The 21,470-nt window shown below is 37.9% G+C and overlaps 1 long non-coding RNA gene across 1 annotated transcript in view, besides 1 other annotated feature; it reads right to left on the bottom strand.

Moving 5' to 3' along the window:
• Positions 3,951–4,833: an enhancer, noted in NCBI's record as "OCT4-NANOG hESC enhancer chr6:141781053-141781935 (GRCh37/hg19 assembly coordinates)". NCBI's record gives its function as "activates a minimal SCP1, AML or CMV promoter by ChIP-STARR-seq in naive and primed H9 embryonic stem cells {active_cell/tissue: H9 hESC(naive and primed)}" and the evidence as "EXISTENCE:reporter gene assay evidence [ECO:0000049][PMID:30033119]".
• LOC105378029 (uncharacterized) overlaps positions 13,743–21,470 on the bottom strand; it is a 47,734-nt gene continuing 40,006 nt past the window's right edge. Inside the window, exon 3 of the long non-coding RNA XR_943077.3 lies at positions 13,743–18,740. This is a non-coding gene — a long non-coding RNA (uncharacterized LOC105378029). The remainder of the gene's footprint in view (positions 18,741–21,470) is intronic.

Raw genomic sequence — 21,470 nt, 5'->3', positions numbered from 1 at the left:
TCTTGAACTCTGATTTAAAGGTTGCTAAGCAACAGTGGCAGTAACAGCTGGGACACCCTTGATCTTGTTGTGTAAACTATTAAAAATAGGTGATGGAAAGTGGCACCATGGAAACAATGACTCTACTGAAGCAGGTGTCTGTAATGCAGCTTTTCAATCTAATGTTAGAGGTGTAAATTACAAAAAGACAAAAATAAAATAACTGTGTCTTTCATTTTCCTAATCTTTGACTTTGGTAAGGGATATTTCTTCTCCTTTGCATTTTCTTGCAATTCCCCAAGCATGTTGGCTCAAGAAATTGTTGATAATTTTAACTAATTACTAACATTGGATTTTGATTTCTAAATTTCAAAAGTGATTTCTTTTTTATAATTTCAAACTCAATCGAAATTCTATATATCCAGTTAAATATAAAGTGCTATATAATGGCCATTGTGCATGAATCTTTTCAGGTTTCTAATTAACTAATATTAATTTTCAGAGGCTGATCATGTTATTATTTATTTTAGATTAACAGGAATCACCCTTGAAGCCCTCCCTGAATCTTGTTGTATAAATGTTTTCAATAATAACAACACAAATATATACACCTAGTCTATATATTTCAAGGACTCATTCTATTATATTTATAAAATCAACAGTAAATAATTCAGCTCTTATTTTCAGATAGTTTATTAGATGCCAGCACTTAATGACCTATAGAACCAGTGTAAACCTCAGTACTTACAGAGGTAGAAAGGACACATTTCCAACAATGTCACCTAAATCAAGCTTTTCCTGCCAGTCAAGTGAATTTGTTTTTTTAGACATTCAATTGAAGGACCATTAAAATAAGAATATTCAGATATTTTGTGTTTAGAGCATTTAAATAAAATGTGTAATAACTAGAAGAGCCTGTAAGACCATTTCTACTTTCATTTTACACATGAGAAACTGAAAAACCACAAAAATGTTAGCTAAGGCAGAGACTACAGTTCCTAAAGTAACATATTAATCTGTCTCCTATTCCAGAGCTCTTTCCACTGCGGGATGATGTTAAATTTAGCCTATTCTAATAAAGATTTTAGAACTTTGTGAAGATTTGATTATTATCGAATGATAATTGATAAGTTTCATGGGCATTTCTGCTCATTTTAGTTTTCTAAACTCATGCATTAAACTTCGTTTTCATAAAACACATAAAACAATTATAAGACATATAAATTTAAGATATTAAGAATATCATGTTCTTGTTCGAACACAAGATAGTCCGTTGACACTAACTGGCAGTGAAACATATATCAGTGAGTCATGCTGAGCGCCTTGTCTTCTGAATTCCAAGTTTGGGAACAGGCAGATATGGCTGAAAGCCTGGATTCTGCAGAGCAATGACAAAAATAATTGTTCTGTATTAGATAGTCATTTGGAGCCAGGCTGTGAGTTTGGAATTAAGGAATATGTTGAGGCTCTTCTCACAAGAAAGAAGGCAGAAACCGTTGCCGGTGACTATGGCTTTCATTATCCACATAGTAAGTCTACTTAAAAAAAAAAAAAAAAAAAAAAACTTCTAGAAATAATAAGTTAAACAAAGTTAAAAGATGAAATATTCAATATTGTTTCCATATAACACAATTTTAAATTTAAAAAATTGAAACAGAAGTCGTATACTTCTCAATATAATGCACAACGTTTATGGAAATGAATATACCAAAATGTTTTCAACCCTATATTAAGAAAATGATTAAACATTACTGAAGATTATTAAAGAAGTCATAAATACATGGATAAAAATTATGATTTTTATATAAAGTAGACAATATTATAAAGACAGCAATTTTCCCACCAAATTAGCTATAAGTTAAATGGAATTTAAGTCAACCTCTCAATAGGTTTTCTTATGAAACTTGACAAGCTGATGTTACTACATCATGTGTAAGAGTAAATGATCACTAACTGCCAAGATAATTTTGGGAAAGGTTGTTGATATGGTTTGGCTGTGTCCCCACCCAAATCTCATTTTGAATTGTAACTCCCACAATTCCCATGTGTCATGGAAGGAACCTGGTGGGAAGTGATTGAATTATGGGGGTGGCTCTTTCCTGTGCTGTTCTCATGATGATCATGAATGAGTCTCACAAGATCTGATGGTTTTAAAAACGGGAATTTCCCTGCATAAGCTCTCTCTTGCCACTGCCATGTAAGAAGTGCTTTTCACCTTCCACCATGATTGTGAGGCCTCCCTAGCCATGTGGAACCATAAGTCCATTAAACCTCTTATGTAAATTCCCCAGTCTTGGGTATGTCTTTATCACCAGTGTGAAAACAGACTAATACAGGTGTGGTGTTTGTAATAGCCTTACCCTACCCAGGTTCAAGGGAATTCTGTTTGGGCTCTTTATAAGAAGTGCATTATCAGAAAAGATATTTGCTTGAATACATTTCTCAAATTAATGAATTTGAAAAATATTCACTTACCCTGTAATTATATTTTAAAACTCTCCATTGAAGTTGTCAGGGGAGGCAAATTTAACTATTAAGATGCCAGACTTGCTTGGCAGAAATTAAGATAGTTACCTATTTTACTGTTGTTTATTCCTATAATATTGTAAGTGTAATTTTTCATAGCCTTTTGTATCCCAGGATTAATTTTATGTTTTTCATTATTTTGAAGAAAAATAGGAATATAATAACAGTACCTCCCTTCTGAATTGTTTTGGAGAATGTTTGAGTATTACCTTGCCATAATTGATGAGGTACTTCAGAGGAGACACTTTTGTCCTGTGTCACTATTTTCAAATTTAACAATCCTACATGTTTAGTTAATGTTAAAGGGTATTGTCAAACGCTGCTCCTGTACTTCTGACTTAGGCAAAATCCCTATTGCTTAAGTCACCTAAGGACATCAGACTCAAATTCTTGCTGATTAATCCTCCATAAATCCATCATCTATTTAATATTTTAAAGTATATTAATAGGGTTTTATTGCTGAACTAATTATTTAATTCATGCAAGCTAAAGTTCTTCCTCTTTTAAAAGAGCAACCTCAATAGGACCATGTTTCAATATGCAAACATAATACTGAAGTAGCAAGTAAAGGAAAGCAATTGTGTCCTTCCATATTGCAATCCATTAAAAAATATCAGTAGCTCCTATAATTGTCCACATGTCAAATTTGAGCTGTTTCTTAGGTTATAAATATTGCCAAACTCCCAAACTGGGGAGTAATTTGAGAGCCAGACTGGCTTGCTTTAAATCCTAGATCCACCTCTTGTTAGCTATGCGAAGTTGGGCAAATTTTTATTATTCGATTTTCTCATCAGTAACAGAGATTATAATAATAGCAACTACTTCATATGGTTCTTATGTAGGTGAAATGAGTTAGTATATGTGAGCCTTATGGAAGAGTATGTGACACAAGTCAACACCATATGGGTCAGCTATGATCTTGCTAGCTGATGTTGTGCTAATGTTCTTCCTCTAGCTCCAGGTGTTCCCTTCAAAAGCACTTGAGATTTTTTAGGATAAACATATGAGGCCTGATAAAAAACAATCATACCTCCCTGTGATTCAGACTCTAAACATTTACTTTATTGAAAGGGGGCTAATCAAGATAGAAAATATATGAAAATATATGAATTGTTTCTAATCATGCCAAAGAAACAATTTTAAATTTAGCTTTTTACTTTTTAAATTTGCCTAAAAATCAATTGTTAATTTATATAGATTATTTTTTGCTAAAAAATTTGTAAACTCAGGTCAGCAGGAAATATATACCCATGTGTAAGTCTACAAATATGTATGCACCACTCCTCTGATATTTACACCATGACAATTGGTAAATACAAAAAATATTTTATGTATATATGTGTAAAGATGATACAGCAAGAAAAATCCATATTTGTGTGTCATTTTCAAAACAAATTTTATCTGGAATAATTATAGATTTAGTGAAAACTTGCAAAGATAGTTTTCATATTCCATTCACCCAGTTTCCCTAATGTTAACTTTAAAAAAATAACAATGATATATTTGTTGAATTTAAAAGTAACATTCTGAGGTAGGAAGCGGGACTTGATGCTAGAGCCAGTTTCATGCGCTTCCATGTGAAGAGACCACCAAACAGGCTTTGTGTGAGCAATAAAGCTTTTAATCACCTGGGTGCAGGCAGGCTGAGTCCGAAAAGATAGTCAGCCAAGGGAGATAGGGGTGGGGCCGTTTTATAGGCTTTGGGTAGGCAAAGGAAAAAGGGTGGTTGTTCTCCGGTGGGCAGGAGTGGGGATCACAAGGTACTCAGTGGGGGAGCCTTTGAGCCAGGAGAAGGAATTTCACAAGACAATGTCATCAATTAAGGCAGGAACAGGCCATTTTCACTTCTTTTGTGGTGGAATGTCATCAGTTAAGGCAGGAACCGGCCATCTGAATGTGTATGTGCAGGTCACAGGGGATATAATGGCTTAGCTTGGGCTCAGAGGCCTGACATTCCTGTCTTCTTATATTAATAAGAAAAATAAAACGAAATAGTTGTAAAGCGCTGGGACAGCGAAAATTTTGGGGGATGGTATGGAGAGATAATGGGCGATGTTTCTCAGGGCTGCTTCAAGCGGATTAGGGGCGGCGTGGGAACCTAGAGTGGGAGAGATTAAGCTGAAGGGAGATCTTGTGGTAAGGGGTGATATTGTGGGGATGTTAGAAGAAACGTTTGACATATAGAATGATTGGTGATGGCCTGGATACGGTTTTGAATGAATTGAGAAACTAAACGGAAGATACAAGGTCCGGATAATAGAAGGAGAAAAATGGGTATTAAAGGACTAAGAATTGGGAGGACCCAGGACATCCAATTAGAGAGTGCCCAAGGGGATTCAGCGTAATTACTTGCTTGGTTGGCAAGTTTTTGGGCTCTATCCTTGAGTTTTTTTATGTTGTCATACACCAGGCCAGATTGATTTAGGTAAAAACAACAACACTCTTCATTTAAGAATATACAGAGTCCTCCTTTTTCAGCAGTGAGTAAGTCAAGGCCTCGGTGGTTTTGGAGGACAACTGCAGCTAAAGAGTCAACTTGGGCCTGGAGGACTGATAAAGTTTGTGATATGTCTGTGATGCTAGCAGAGAAGTCATTAGTCAGGCTACGGAAGGTCGTGACAGAGGTTGAAATGCCTGCTATTCCAGTACCGAGAGCAATAGTGGAGGCAGAAAGTCCTAAACCCACCAGCAAGGGAATTAGTGGAATAACTGTTTTTTGTCATGTCGGTGTCATGAGGGGAACAGGGAGCTCTTCGGTCCCATTTGCAAATTGAATTTTGGGGGTAAGGAAAACTAGTGTGCATGTGCCTGTCCAATTAGCAGGTAGACACATGTAGGTAGAGGATCCACAGAGGAAGAAGAGACCTTGTGTGAGGCAAAACTGGAGATGTAAAGTAAAAAGGTGAGAAGGAGTGCTGAAAGGGGTGTCTTGTATCCAGACTCCTAGGGATCCAGCTAGGGCGGCAGCTGTCAGAGGTTGTAATGGGGACTGATGGGGTAACTGCGTAGAGGAGGAGGTTCGATTTTCATGGTGTATGAGAAAACATTGAGTATCTATGAGCAACCTTTCACTGTTATTTCGGGGCTGGGTATAAGTAAACAAGAAGAGGGCCTGGGAGGAGAGTCTGACTCGCAAGGGGAAGGTAGCCAAGGATGGAGTGAAATACAGGGTAAGTGTCTTCCTGAACAATAATTACTGCTAATGTTTTTGCGTTTGTCAGTATCGATAGAGGGCTTGTCCGTAATATGGAGCTGGAAGGCTCCCATTGTTTCAGTGATGTGTGTAGTTGGGCTTTGGAGATGAAGAGTAAAGGAACATCGAGAAGGTGAAATATTACCTAGGGGAATTCCAGTGGGTCTTTGCCGAGAGATAGATAAAGGACCGGTCACAGGAATAGTAGTTTGTGTTGTGAGAGGTCCAAATATGGGGGGAGTAGAGTTAATATAAAGGTTTTTTAAATAAGTGTGGAGGAGGGTGGCAGCTTGCTGATGTGAGATGTCTGGGGAGGTCTTGCTGGACCTGTCTAGAAAGTAAATGAGTTCTTCAGGAGGGTAAAGGTGAGGGCTGTTAAAGGAAGTTCAGAGGTGTAAGGAGACAGGAGATGTTGCCGAGTCTGTCTGTAAAGTAGGGACAGCTGTGTAGGCACTGGAAGAAAGGGAAATGCAAAGCCAGCAGTTGTTCGCTAAGGAGGGATTAGAAGCGTCTAGGAGAGAATGGGTAAGGTTGATAGTGTGGTGGAGATAGCTGGGGAGAGGTAAAGGGTGGCATAAGAATGGGAATGAGAATAAGAGTGAGTATAAAAGTGAAGAATAGAACTTCATCAGGGTGGAAGTATTGGAGGGTGCCCTGCCTGCAAAGATCATCTACCCACTCTAAGAGGGAATTAAGAGTAGTGGTTTGGGGATAGCACCAAGAGATATCAGCTGTGATGGCTTGAAGAAACAGTGTAAACCGGCAGTGTAAACAAGAGTAGGGCATTTATAAGTAGTTAAGAATGGAGAATAGGAGTATGACTAGACAGAAAATAGTAGGGATGACAAGTTTTTTGGGGCTCAGCCTAAGTGGTGGGGGTGACGTCATAAAGCCCCGTTGCAAAAAGTAGGGTAAGGACGAATAGACCTAACAGAATGAAGGGATGTATTAGGCTCATAAGGGTTATTACTGTTCTTCAGAAATATGAGTGAGTTTAAGGGAAGTAGGGGAGAGTACTTGCGACTTCCAGGAGGAAGAGGAGGGATTAGGCTGGCTGTCTGATGGACAGAGCTTTATTCTGGAATGGTGAATCCAGTGGGGAGGATCCTGCAGGCAGACAGCAGTTGGGGTACTATAGATGACTAAGTAGGGTCCGGTCCATTGAGGTTGTAGAGTTTGAGGGGTCAATTCTTAACAAGAACTGATCGTCCAGCTAGGGTGTCTTCATATGGCTGGGGATCTGGAGTAGGCAATAGAAGATTAGCAGCCTGGCGAATTTCCTGTCTAGCCTGTTGGAAGACTGTAAGATAGTCGCCTAGAGGGCTGGAGTCTGGGATGAGGTTGGGGCCAAGCAAGAAAGTGTGTCCATATAAAAGTTCAAATGGACTGTACCCTGTAGCATCTCGAGGACAGGCTCTAATTCTGAGAAGCGCAAGAGGTAAAAGTACTATCCAATCCTTTTTAAGTTGGAGGCTGAGCTTGGTGAGATGTGTCTTTAAAAGACCATTAGTCCCTTCTACCTTTCCTGAAGATTGAGGATGGTAAGGGATATGAAGGTTCCATTGAATACCTACAGCCTGAGAAACTGCTTCGGTGATTTGACTAGTAAAGGCTGGTCCATTATCAGACCGTATAGAGGTGGGAAGGCCAAACTGAGGAATTATGTCTGACAGAATGGAAGAAATGACTGTGGTGGCCTTCTCAGACCCTGTGGGAAAGGCCTCTACCCATCTAGTGAAAGTGTCTACTTAGACTAAGAGGTATTTGAGTTTTTGTGACTCGGGGCATGTTGAGTAAAGCTAATTTGCCAGTCCTGGGCGGGGGCAAATCCTTGAGCTTGATGTGTAGGGAAGGGAGGCGGCCTGAATAATCCTTGAGGAGTAGTAGAATAGCAGATGGAACACTGAGAAGTTATTTCCTTGAGGATAGATTTCTATGATGGAAAGGAAATGAGAGGTTTTAAGAGGCGGGCTAGTGGCTTGTACTACAGCATAGCCTGCCTTTGCTGGTGTGTGGTAATTAGGCCTGGTGGAACCGTCATCAATAAACAAAGTGTGATCAGGGTGAGAAACAGGGAAGAAGGAAATGTGGGGAAATGGGGTGAACATCAGGTGGATCAGAGAGATGCAGTCATGAGGGTCAGGTGTGGTATCAGGAATAATGTGGGAGGCCGGATTGAAGTCTGGGCCAGGAAAAATGGTAATTGCAGGAGACTCAACAAAGCATGAGTGCAGCTGAAGGAGCCAGGGAGCAGAAAGTATATGTGTCAGGTGTGAGGAAGAAAATAGATTTTGGAAGTTATGAGAGCTGTAGAGAGTGAGTTGAGCATAGTATGTGATTTTAAGGGCCTCTAAAAGTATTAGGGCAGCAGCAGCCACTGCACGGAGACATAATGGCCAGCTTAAAACAGTAAGGTCAAGTTGTTTGGACAAAAAGGCTACAGGACGCGATCCTGGTCCTTGTGTAAGAATTCCGACTGCACAGTCCTGCACTTCGGCTGTGTGTAATGAAAAGGGTTGGGATGAGTCAGGGAGAGCTAGAGTGGGGGCAGTCTCTAAAGTTGTCTTCAAGGAACGGAAAGAGGAGTGGGGAAAGGATTTAGGATCTATGGGGTCAAATAGGTTTCCTTTTGTGAGCTTATATAATGGTTTTTTTAGGATGGCAAAACTAGGTATCCAAAGGCGAAAGTATCTAACCATGCCGAGGAAGGAAAGGAGCTGTTGTTTTGTAGAAGGGGTTGGGGTTTGAGAGATTAGTTGAACACGATCGGCAGGGTGAGCACGTGTGTTTTTATGAGAATTATGCTGAGATAGGTAACAGATGAGGAAGAAATTTGGGCTTGACTGAAGTAATGGGGGTTTTCTATGAAGATTTGTGGCAGTACAGCCTAGGTAATTTGCTGAGCTTGATGGGTGTCAGGGTCAGTCCAAGTGAAAGTGAAGAGAGGCTGGGATGACGGGTGCAAAGGAATAGTAAAGAAAGCATGTTTGAGATCCAGAACAGAATAATGGATTGTGGAGGGAGGTATTGAGGATAGGAGAGTATATGGGTTTGGCACCATGGGGTGGATAGACAAAACAATTTAGTTGATAAGGCATAGATCCTGAACTAACTTGTAAGGCTTGTCTGGTTTTAGGACAGGTAAAATGGGGGAATTGTAAGGAGAGTTTATAGGCTTTAAAAGGCCATGCTCTAGCAGGTGAGTGATAACAGGTTTTAATCCTTTCAAAGCATGTAGTGGGATGGGATATTGGCATTGAGTGGGGTAAGGATGATTAGGTTTTAATGAGATGGTAAGGGGTGCATGATCGGTCACCAAGGAGGGAGTAGAGGTATCTTATTCTTGTGGGTTAAGGTGGGGGAATACAAGAGGAGGATGCAAAGGAGGCTTTGGATTGGGAAGAAGGGCTGTAATGAGATGCAGCTGTAATCCAGGAATAGCCAGGGAAGCAGATAATTTAGTTAAAGTGTCTCAGCCTAATAATCATACTGGGCAGGTGGGGATAACTAAAAGGAGGGCTTAAAAGAGTATTGCCTAAGTTGGCACCAGAGTTGGGGAGTTTTAAGAGGTTTAGAAGCCTGGCTGTCAATACCCACAACAGTTATGGAGGCAAGGGAAACAGGCCCTTGAAAAGAAGGTAATATGGAGTGGGAAGCCTCAGTATTGATTAAGAAGGGGATGGACTTACCCTCCACTGTGAGAGTTACCTAAAGCTTGGCGTCCGTGATAGTCTATGGGCTTCCGAGGCAATCGGGCAGCGTCAGTCTTCAGCCGCTAAGCCGAGAAGATCTGGGAAGGAGTCAGAGAGCCTTGGGCCAGAGTTCCAGTGGCTGCCAGGTGAGTTGAACAGTCTGATTTCCAGTGGGGTCCTGCACAGATGGGACACGGCTTAGGAGGAATCCCGGGCTGCAGGCATTCCTTGGCCTGGTGGCCAGATTTCTGGCACTTGTAGCAAGCTCCTGGGGAAGGTGGTTCTGGAGGAACGCCTGGCCACTGTGGTTTAGGCGTTTGGAAGTTCTTGTGTGCTGGAGATGTGGCTGGGGTTTGTCTCACAGTGGAGGAAAGGAATTGAAACTCAGAAATATATTGCTACTTGGCTGCCTCTATTATTGTACACCTTGAAGGCGAGGTTAATTAAGTCCTGTTGTGGGGTTTGAGGGCCGGAATTTAATTTTTGGATTTTTACTTAATGTCGGGAGCAGATTGGGTAATAAAATGTATATTGAGAATAAGATGGCCTTTTGATATTTTAGGGTCTAGGGCTGTAAAGCGTCTCAGGGTTGCTGCGAAACGAGCCATGAACCGGGCTGGATTTTTATATTTGATGAAAAAGAGCCTAAACGCTATCTGATTTGGGATAAAGAAAAAGGAGCATTAGCCTTGACTATGCCTTTAGCTCCAGCCACCTTTTTAAGAGTAAATTGCTGGGCAGGTGGTGGAGGGCTACTCATGGAACTTAACTGTAAACTGGACCAGGTGTGAGGAGGGGAGGTGATAAAGGATTATAGGGTGGAGGAGTGGAGGCTGAGGAAGAATTGGGACCTAGCTCGGCCTGGGGAGGAGGGGAGAGGTCAGATGGGTCTGTAGAAAAGGAAGATTAGAAAGACTCAGTGATGCTTGGGGTTGAGACGGAGGGGACAGGCAGGAGGGAAAGAAGGAAGATTCGGGATGAGTTGCATTGGGCACAGAGACTAGGGAGAGACTGATGTGTAGAAGAGTGCCTGGACATCAGGCACCTCAGACCATTTGCCTATTTTAGTCCAAGACAAGAATTATTTAGATCTTGCGGGATGGAAAAATTGAAAGTGCCTTTTTCTGGCTATTTGGAACCACTGTCGAGCTTGTACTGGGGTCAAGCGGCATTGTAGGAGAAAATAAGGCATTTACGTTTTAGGTTCGGTGTGAGTTGAAGAGGTTTTAAGTTCTTGAGAGCACAGGCTAAGGGAGACGGAGGAATGGAGGGTGGAAGGTTGTCCATAGTGAAAGAGGCAAGCCTAGAGAAAAGAGAGAGTAGAGACATGGAAGGGGTTCAGGGGTTCTTACCTTCCAGAAAATTGAGAAAGGGGTCGGGGCATGGAAATAAGGGATTGGGGCACAGAGATAAGAGGTCAGGGCACAGAAATAAGGGATTGGGGCACAGAGATAAGAGGTCGGGGCATGGAAATAAGGGATGAGGCACAGAGATAAGAGGTCAGGGTGCGGAAATAAGGGATTGGGTGTTCTTTTCTCCTGGAAAAGCAGGACTTGCCACTAAGGGTGAAGGAGAAGGGGTTTGAGGGGTTCTTGCCCCTCACCCAGAAAAGCAGAGAAGGGGTGGAGACATGGAGAGAAGGGATTGGGGTACTTGCACCTCCCCTAGAAAAGTGGAACTTGCTGCTAAGGGTGAAGGACAAAGGCAGGCATCCCCGTGTGGTCTGACACCTCTGAAACCTGGGTAAATAATCAGGCATCCCTGCAATGATTAAACACCAAGGGAAGGCTGCCTTCCCTAGTCCATGACCGGCGCTGGAGTTTTGGGTCCACAGGTAAAACGTGTCTCCTTTGTCTCTACCAGAAAATGAAAGGAATTGAAATTAAGAGAATTGGGAGATTGAAGTGTGGCACCAAGATTGAAAGGAGAAAGAGGTTGAGGGATAGTGACGAAGGTTGGAGAAGAGAGTAAAATGAGGCCACTTACCGGATTTGAAATTGGTGAGATGTTTCTTGGGCTGGTCGGTCTGAGGACCTGAGGTTGTAGGTGGACCTTTCTCACGGAGCAAAGAGCAGGAGGACAGGGGATTGATCTCCCAAGGGAGGTCCCCCGATCTGAGTCACGGCACCAAATTTCATGTGCATCCGTGTGAAGAGACCACCAAACAGGCTTTGTGTGAGCAATAAAGCTTTTAATCACCTGGGTGCAGGCAGGCTGAGTCCGAAAAGATAGTCAGCCAAGGGAGATAGGGGTGGGGCCGTTTTACAGGATTTGGGTAGGTAAAGGAAAAAGGCGGGTTGTTCTCTGGTGGGCAGGAGTGGGGGTCACAAGGTACTCAGTGGGGTAGCCTTTGAGCCAGGATGAGCCAGGAGAAGGAATTTCACAAGACAATGTCATCAGTTAAAGCAGGAACAGGCCATTTTCACTTCTTTTGTGGTGGAATGTCATCAGTTAAGGCAGGAACCGGCCATCTGGATGTGTATGTGCAGGTCACAGGGGATATAATGGCTTAGCTTGGGCTCAGAGGCCTGACAGCCAGGGCTTGGACACCAGACCAAATTGAGAACTAGCTAAAACAGGGCTGCAGTGGAAGAAGCTTTCCATCAGACATGTCCACCAGTGTGCCATGTCAGTTACATGGCAATACCTGGGAATTACCACCTCTTTCCTTGGCAATGACAAATGATCCAAGAGTTACTACCCCTTCCCTAGAAATTTCTGCATAAACCACCCTTTAATCTGGATGTTATTAAAAGTAGGTATAAATGTGACTGCAAAACAGCCCTGAGCTCCTACTCTCTGCCTATGGGGTAGCCCTGCTCTGCAGTAGCAATCATAGAGCTGTACCACTGCCTCTTCAGTAAAGTTGTTTACTTCTACCTGTGGCTTACCCTTGAATTCTTTCCTGGGCAAGGCCAAGAACCCCCTCCTGGGCTAAGCTCCACTTTAGGGCTTGCCAGCCCTGTATCAATTAGTACATTTCTATTAACTAAACAAAAGGCTTTATTTACATTTTACCAGTTTTTAAAAATTCTTTCTCTGGACCAAGATCTAATACAGGATATTACATTATATTTAGTCATTTCTCCTCAACCTCCTTTGGTCTTTGACAGTTGCTTACTTATTTATTGTTACTCATTGCTTTGAAATTTGAAAGAATTCTGGTCTGGTATTCTAAAAAATGTCCCAGTTATAAATGATTTTTATCTGAGCAGTGGTATCATCAGTGCTTTTTTTCTTTCTTGTCCCTTTTTATCGTTTTTCTTGAATCTTAATAATGAACCATAATTAGATCTATTACTTTTCCTATCACAATGTTGGCCAGACATCTTATACCACACATGACAACTTCTTAGCTCATCTTTGTGTCCTGAATGTTCCTGTGGCCTCCAGCTGCACACAGGGACAGATTCACAAAGCCTAAGTTTTTCTTTCTTTCTTAGGGCTCCTGTGCTTTTGTTCCCTGGATGCCTGCCAAGCTTGCTCACATGCACACTCTTACACACCTTTAAAGAACAAGGGATGGGATCTGATGGCTATAAAATCCCCACCTTCCATTTTTCAGACAGAAAATTCTCAGTTGCATTTATGTGATTCATTCTGTTCCATTGAATTCCATTGAATTCCACTGAATTCCATTCCATTGAATTCCATTCCATTCTATTCTCAAGTAGATTCTACACTGTCTTTAGAAGGATCAAGACCCAGTGGCTCAAAGCAGAAATCAGTGTTAAAAAATACTCTTAGGTAGGGCCAGTCAGGGTGACTCATGCCTGTAATCCCAGTACTTTGGGAAACTGACAAAGGAGGTTTGCTTGAAGCCAGCAGTTTGAGACCAGCCTGGGCAACATAACAAGACCTCATCTCTACCAAAAAAATGTATTTTTAAAAAATTTGCTGGGCATGGTGATGTGTGCATGTAGTCCCAGTTAATCAAGAGGCTGAGGTGGGAGGATCAATTACACCCAGGAATTCAAGACTGCAGTGAGTCATGATCCCACAGCTATACTCTAGCCTGGGTGACAGAGCAACACCCTGTCTCTAAGCAAACAAATAAGCAAACAACAACAACAACAACAACTCTTAGAGTGACTTTTCTTCCTTCTATACTTTACTCTTTTCAGTTCCCTGACTCCAGTTCCCTTGGTACAAGCATTTTAAGGTGAGGGGGTGGGGTGAAGTGGCAATCAAATCTCAGACAGAGTAAAACAAAATAATTTTTAAAATGTGTGTAAGTTCATCACATGTTATAAGTAATATCCTTGGCCAGTGCTCATGTTATTTAGATCACTTAGTCTAACATTTATCACATCTTATTTGTAGGCATAGGAGAAAAGATTGAAACAAGGGGAAAAAATCTGATGCCTTTTTAATTTACAGTGGTCTCTTGAACAACATAGGTTTGAATGGCATGAATGCATTCATATGCAGATTTCCTTCCCCCTCTGCCACCCCTGGGACAGCAAAACCAATCCTTCCTCTTCCTCTCCTCCTCAGCCAACTCAAAATGATGACAAAGATGAAGACTTTTGTAATGATCCACTTCCACTTAATAGTAAACATATTTTCTCTTTCATATGATTTTCTTAATAATATGTTCCTTTCTCTAGTTTATTTTATTGTAAGAATACTGTATCTAATACATATCACATAGAAAATATGTGTTAATTGACTGTTTATGTTATTGGTAAGGCTTCCAGTCAATAATAGGCTATTAGTAGTTAACTCTTTGGGTTAGTCAAAAGTTATACATGGACTTTTTGACTATTTGAGTGGTTGGTACCCCTTAAAGACCTACATAGTGAAAGTGAACATAATAGATTTGATCACTGATATTAATTAAGCACAATGAGGTCTTTCAAGCCAATAAAATTAGGTAAAGTAAAATGAAAAGGAAGAAATCTCCATAGATACTTTTATCTAAGTTTTGAGTTCTAAAATTAATTCACAAGGAGATAAAAACTAGAATAAGGAGATAAAAGTTGGTCATTGTTCTCTATTATATTTTATGTTTGTACCATGACACTGTTGGAGGATGTGGAATCATAACAAATTACTCTGTTAAAAACAAATATTCTTGTCTTTTGCAATTAAAAGAGCTTAGCAATGGCACAAACCAGCATGCATATTAGAATTGAGATAAGAATTAAGGTAAATAATAGTGAAGTATTTCTTATGCAAGAGAAAGTAACAAATGAAGGGCAGGATTTTCCTTATTATCACAGACTGTAACATCCAACACTCATTTCTTTACAGGAAAAATATTTCATACTCTGTACAAGGCACTGTGCTAAAAACTGGGCATGTATCAGTGAACAAAACCCACGTAGTCACTGGGACCATGAGACTCCAAGTGGTAGGAAAAGTGTATGCTAAAACACTTACATAAGCAATACTTTTGAGGACTTACATAAGCAATACTTTTGAAATGTGACAGATGAAGGAAAACATTAGGATACAATAAAACAGAACAATCTGAGTGGATATCAATTTAAATTAGGTAATTAGGAAAGACCTCCTTTAAGTAAAAAATTAAGCTGACCCATAAACCATGGTTGACTTTCTCAGTGAAAAGAAAGACAAAGACTTCTGAAAATAAATAAAGGAAAATTTAAGAAGCAAAGAAAAACTATAAAATATGTATGTTTCTGGTAAAGCATACTTACTAGAAATACTGGAAAATATTGACATGTTAAAAATTACTGACAGCCCAGGTGATACATTAATAATAAATTTGATCCAGTCAACAGAATGAGGTGATGAATTTGCAGTGAAAAAATAAAATAGAAAATACCAGAAGAATAACTATGTCTCTTTAAAACATCCAATTATTGTAGAAAAATGAGTTTACACAAAAAAAATAGGAGTTGTTTTGCTTAAGGGAAAAACAAAACTTTATAATAGGATTTACAATCTTAGCTTTCCTACCGTAGAAGCCCTACTACAGTAGAGTAGGTTATTAAATATTGGTAATATTATAAATATAATAATTATTCAGCAAAGTAAATGTAAAATGTAGAAATTAAAGATCCACAATTATTCTTTAGTGTATTTGATTAAGAAATTGAAGCACTGAAGCAAATATTACTTATACTATTATTTATATTAGGAATATTTACACATTATTATGGTACAGTCTCATTGGTACATTGGGCAAGAAATGTTTGATTTCCACCCAGACTAGAGTTATCCATTTGAGAATGGCTTCTGCATGTTCCATATTCAATTATAAACATAAATTGTATTTATACATGGCTTGGTCTACTTGTTAATTTTCTTTCTCCTCCTATAGAATGTAAGCTCCAAAATTATGCCTCTCTTAATTTTGTCCAGTATCTTCAATAGAATTTTCTAAGTATTCATTGAATTAATGAATGAAAACATTATTTTAAAATATTTAGCATTAACAATAGATTTTCATGAAACAGAAACACAATGTAAGTGTACATGTTATCTTCAAAGCAAAATCAATTTCAGAATAATGTGGGGAAAAGACTGTTTACCTTTAATTCCAGGAAAGGTAATTCAATTGCCATTATACAGTTAATAAACCTGAAATTCAAAGACAAATGACATGCTTTTGGTAATTTAGCTTTAAATGATATGATTGGGAGTGGGCACAAAGTATTCTGTCATAGATGAGGATTATTTTTAATAATCATTTATCTTCATTCTGTGAATTGAGCTTATGTAGTTTCCTATGCAGACTGTTAGATGAAAACTACTTATTTCCATAAACTAGATTCAAGGCTAGTTATACATTTATTTATTTTTCTTTTTCTTTTCCTTTCCTAATTCGTGAGGTTGCTGCATATTTGAGTTATTATAATTCTAATTATTCCTCTCTCCTAACCTCTCTTTACTGTTCCCTTGATGACCATTGCTTAGTCAACCTGATGAAGCTTGCCTAATAAACTCTTGACATTATAGTAAGGAATTCAGTGGCGGACAGTATATTAGAGGGGTTAATATTGTAGGCTCTGGCACCAGTGCATGGATCCCAGTCCTGTCTTTATCACTTAGCAGTTGTGAAAACTTTAGCAAGTTATTTAACTGTACTTCAGCTCTTCACAGGTAAAGCAAAGATAATGAAAGTATCATTTAATTCCTTGGGAAGACTTCCTTGATCTTTCTACAAGGTTAAGTTGACTATTCTATGATCTTGCAAAACATTACCTTTCTTTTGTAGCAGTAATAACACTTTAACACTTGTAATTAATTTCACATCTATTTGTAGAATGTTTAAGTTTTGGATAATCTTAATGCTATAATCTACATGACAGTATTACTTTTTGGGTTGATTATTGTTTTTTGTTTTTTTTTCTTCGCTCATCATTACATACTTGATAGCTGACACATAGTAGATGCTCAGTGTACAAATGCTGAATTAATGAATAAATTTTCATATTTAGTAGCATCCTATAATTGTAGCATCCCTCCTATTCCATGTTACTGGTGGTATGCAAAGTGTCAACTACTCCCTTTCCCCTTTCTGGCCTCATGCTATTTCCATTGTTTTGAAGTTACTGCATTGGAATTCAATTAAGAATAAAAGGATGAATTTTTTTAATATTTCAATATTACTCCAAATCATAATCGTGCAAAAATAATTCACGTTCCCTTTAGAATCCAGATGCAAATGACGTTTTATAAAAGCGCGTCAATTAAGGTAATAAAAACTATTCTCGCCTTCTTCATTATAACAACAATGTACCTTGGTACTATTAAATCTATTTCTCAAAATTAATTTTTAGGAAGTTAAGACAAGGTGTTCTCAGGGCTGTATTAATTTAACCGTAGACCAAAGCTTAATTTCAGACTTGAACACAAGCAAATATACATTTTCTTTCTTTTGTGTATTCATGCTGAATTAAATCCTTAGGTCAAGTAATCAGCCAATTCTTAACAAACTTTTCAAAATAATTCTATGTTCCCCAGTAGGTAGATGTCCTTATGGGCAAGCTCTATTTTGAAAATCTAAACATAAAAAACAGTGTAGCTTATGATTAGGCAGGTGTTAATTGCTTTTTCTAATTGAACAGCAGTAAATACACACTTCCTTTTAACTGAAGAAATATATGCTCTATATTTAAACTTAACTGCCCATATAATCTTAGAGAGAGTTGAAATTTAAAAGTTTTATGATTTCCTTAAAGTTTTTAAACTAAATATTAAAGACCATCAAAGGAATATATATATATATTTTTTCTCACATTTCGTATATATATACGTGTGTATCTATCTATACATATATATATTTTTTTCAACAGAGAATTCCTGTATCTAAAATTTTAGTAAGTTTTAGAATAGGAAAGAGAAAATGTCTGCAGATATTTACAGTTCTCATAAATAAAATTATCTTTTGGATATACTTAATTTTAAAATAAATTCTCAAAGTCCTCCAATACAGTAAATCATCAATCAAAGAGGTGATTGCCACTTTTTGTTTGGATCTAGAATGCTGAAATAGAGGCTCAGTAACTCTATCCTGACTAAGAGACTGCAAAGAAAATTTGGTATTAGAGGGACTTCACTTTGTAAAACTTTAAAATATCTTTTTTTTTTCCTTAAAATTTTCAAAGAAATGCAGTTTTACTCAAAGTTCTTTTAAACTCTTAAGGGACATGTAGTTCTCATTTTACATAGCTTATTACAGATTATACTAAATAATGTAATGTTTGTTATACATTTTATGTAGCCAATATGACTATTAATAATAAAAAAGCAAGAGTCAATGATAAAAAAATCTAAAAACTAAAAAAGAAAACAAAATTACAGTAATCCAGTAGAAATTAAAATTACCTGTGGTATTTTCAATGACCTGGGTAACAGTATTTTTCCTCTAACCTTCACACCTTCATTAGAGGGAATACAAAGAGGAGCCACAGATCTCTCCCTGCTCCTAGATCCTTCCTCTGGTCTCTAGGCCGACAGTGTGGGACTGCAAGGCGGACAGTCAGTGCACTCAGGGCTCCTGTTAACATCACTCCAATACTTCACACATCCATTGGTTTTTGTCTCCCAGACTGATAAAAAAGAAAATTACCTTTCATTTAAAAAGCAGCCCACATATATAAAAGCCACATTCATATTCACACATAACTGTGAAAGAACCATGAGCCTTATCTGGAGCTAGGCACTGTATGGAGTCTTTCTAACTCTAAACATTTCCTCTCCTGAATCACGTGGATCAGCCTCCAGGGAAAGGCTTCTTCATATTTCTTGTCCTCTGTCTTAGAAACAAATTGCAACTCCATCTAAATGCTGTAGAGCTTTGTGGATGGTGCCTCTGGGAATCTTGAATGTAGATGCTGTCATGAAATGCAGAGAGAATTTGAACAGCAGAAATGCTTAAGGAAGGAAAAAGACAGATTAATTAACTTTCAGATCTTCCATTCAGCAAGAATGCAATAAATTCTTACATATGGAAGTGTTATTTCCAAGTAGTGCTCAACATCTATTTTCCTATATTTATTTTTGTTTCAATTATGATTATAGAGGTAGTCACAAATTAGTAAAACATTCGCAATAGAGTAAATGATTTCTAATTACGTGGAGGTATGAATTCCTCACAATATTAAGTATTTAATACTATATATAAGATTTCTACATGTGAAATACATATAGAAAAAACATCTTTAAGGCATAATTCTGACTCTTCCCATAGGTAACTGGATGATTATTGCCTGCTAGAAATGAATTTTGCCAAATATATTCAATTCAGTTGAATTAATTTTTAAATTAAAAAATCTGCACTTCTCAAATAATTTTGATTTGTTATTTTGATTTCTTATTTTTGTCCTCAATTGTAATAATTTCAAATATTTTAGAAAAAAGTTTTTGAAGGCATGAAGTTTATTTTTAAAGCTTTACATTGTCAGTTTACACTTTTATGAAAGTATATTGTTTCAGTTATTTTTGTTAATAGGTACACAACTTGTGTGAAAATATTAGAATAGTGGAAGTAATGATTTTGCTAAAATGAGAAAAATAAATTGAATTAAATATGTAATAATGCAAGAGTGATGAGTATTTTCATTTTATCACTCATGCAAATATTTCTGTCCCATCAACAGAGCATATACATACAGAAGGATAATTAAGTTCAATCATCTTTGATCTTTTACTAATTTTTGGTCACTTTAAAATACTTTACACATTTTATCAAAATAAAAATACATTTATGAAGTAGAAGGATAGAACTCAATTTATTTAGTGATTTGTGAGCTTTATTTAAACACTGAAAATATTTAGATTATGAGATGAAGACTTCCAACTGCACTCTTTTTCTATTAACATAAAATTATGATGGAACTAATTTTACCTTAGGGGTTAGACTGAATTCTGGCTAACCCCAGAGAACACACCTTCCTTTGTAGTACATTCAGACTATTTCTCTCCCACACCTCAAGTACTTCAAGAAGTTAGACCTTTATTCTCTTCTACATGACTCTCCAAAAACAAACAATAAAAAAAAACACCTCATGATATTCAGCTACATTATTTACTACTCTTTCTTTTGGAATTCTATATGCCACCTAGTATACTCTCACTTCTCAAGGATTTTAGAAATTGGTTCATTTTTCTCCATCACAATTTGTCACAACTCTTAGGAATTTAATATTGATATAAAAGATCTTACTCATTCTTTTACTTTCCCAACTCAGATGATCTTGTTTTTCACCCCATCTCAATCACTATATCAATAATCATATCCTAGATCTGAACTCCTTCCACAGTCTTACATTTAGCGCCAGATACAACATTCTAAAATTTCAATTGATTTAATCTAGTTATTCAACTGTAATATTTTTCCTACCCTATTACTTCTTAATAAGATTATATTTTTATCCTCATACACTCATAGTCTTACTTCTTGCTTATATTCCATTGTTTAATACTATATTTTAGCAAAAAAACTCCCAGCACAATATCTATATAATCAATTGTTTACACCTTCTTCTCTTTGTCATATATGCCCCGTACACTCAATCCTATTTAAATAAAACCCTGCACACATCATACCAGTAGCCAAGGAGTTGAATGTAGCAGAGAAAATAAGAAATCCGTGTTGATTTGCTTCACATTAAATCATGACCACAATCATTAAGCAAATTTTCAGTTCTGACAAATAATTACATTTGGGTTCCCTTGTTAACTCACTAGCTACACCCATTCATGCCTCTGTCATGCCTTCTTTTTCCTTCCAGCTCCATGTCTCTTCTTATGAGCATCAACCGATGATCTTTATTCTTATTACACTGTGTGGAACATTCAGGATAGAATTTGTACATTCTTCTCCCACCCACTTATGCACTTACCATAACAACAAATATTCATCTACACCCAAATGCACTGCTTTCCCTTCTGGGTTTTTTTTTTTTTTTTAATTTAAGTGAATTAAGGTAAACTCCTCCACTTGGACACAAAATTCTATCCTTTCCTGCTTACTCACTTATGAAATTATTCCTTCTCTCCTACAAACATATTTTGCTCTGTACTGAATCATTTCTATCACCATGGAAACCAAGTATAATATCTCTCATCTTAAAATAAAACATTTCCTTGTGTTCACATATCCCTCCAATGACCTCTCCATTCTTCTATTTCACATTAGAGCAAAACTCTTTGAAACTATTGTCCATATTTTCTGCATCCACTTCTGATTTTTACAGTGTCTCTTGAATCTAATTTATTAAGACATTTATTCTGCCACTGCACTGACATTGCTATTCTCCAATCATAGGCCACATCTTAGTGGTCCTACCAGCAACATTGGCCAAAGTTGATTCCTCACTACTCTTTGAAGTCCATCCTTCACTTAGCCTTCACAACAAAACTTATGGGAAATCATTTAATAGATCCATTTAAATTAGAAAAATTATCCATTTCATTATAATTGTCTGTTAATCGCTATAAGATTTGATTGATCACTCTGATAGTTTGCTGTCTTCACATCTCTTTCTATCCTTCCCCAGTGGTTTACAGTGTCCTATAGGACCTGGCCTCCTTGCTGTTCCTGGAATACATCTACAAGTTGGCTACAATTTCAGTCATTTCACTTGCTGTTCACTCTACAT

This window comes from Homo sapiens, chromosome 6 (assembly GCF_000001405.40).
Source record: "Homo sapiens chromosome 6, GRCh38.p14 Primary Assembly".
Lineage (NCBI taxonomy): Eukaryota > Metazoa > Chordata > Mammalia > Primates > Hominidae > Homo > Homo sapiens.
The sequence above is the reverse complement of the archived record's forward strand: the minus strand, read 5'-3'. Positions and strand labels throughout refer to the sequence as shown.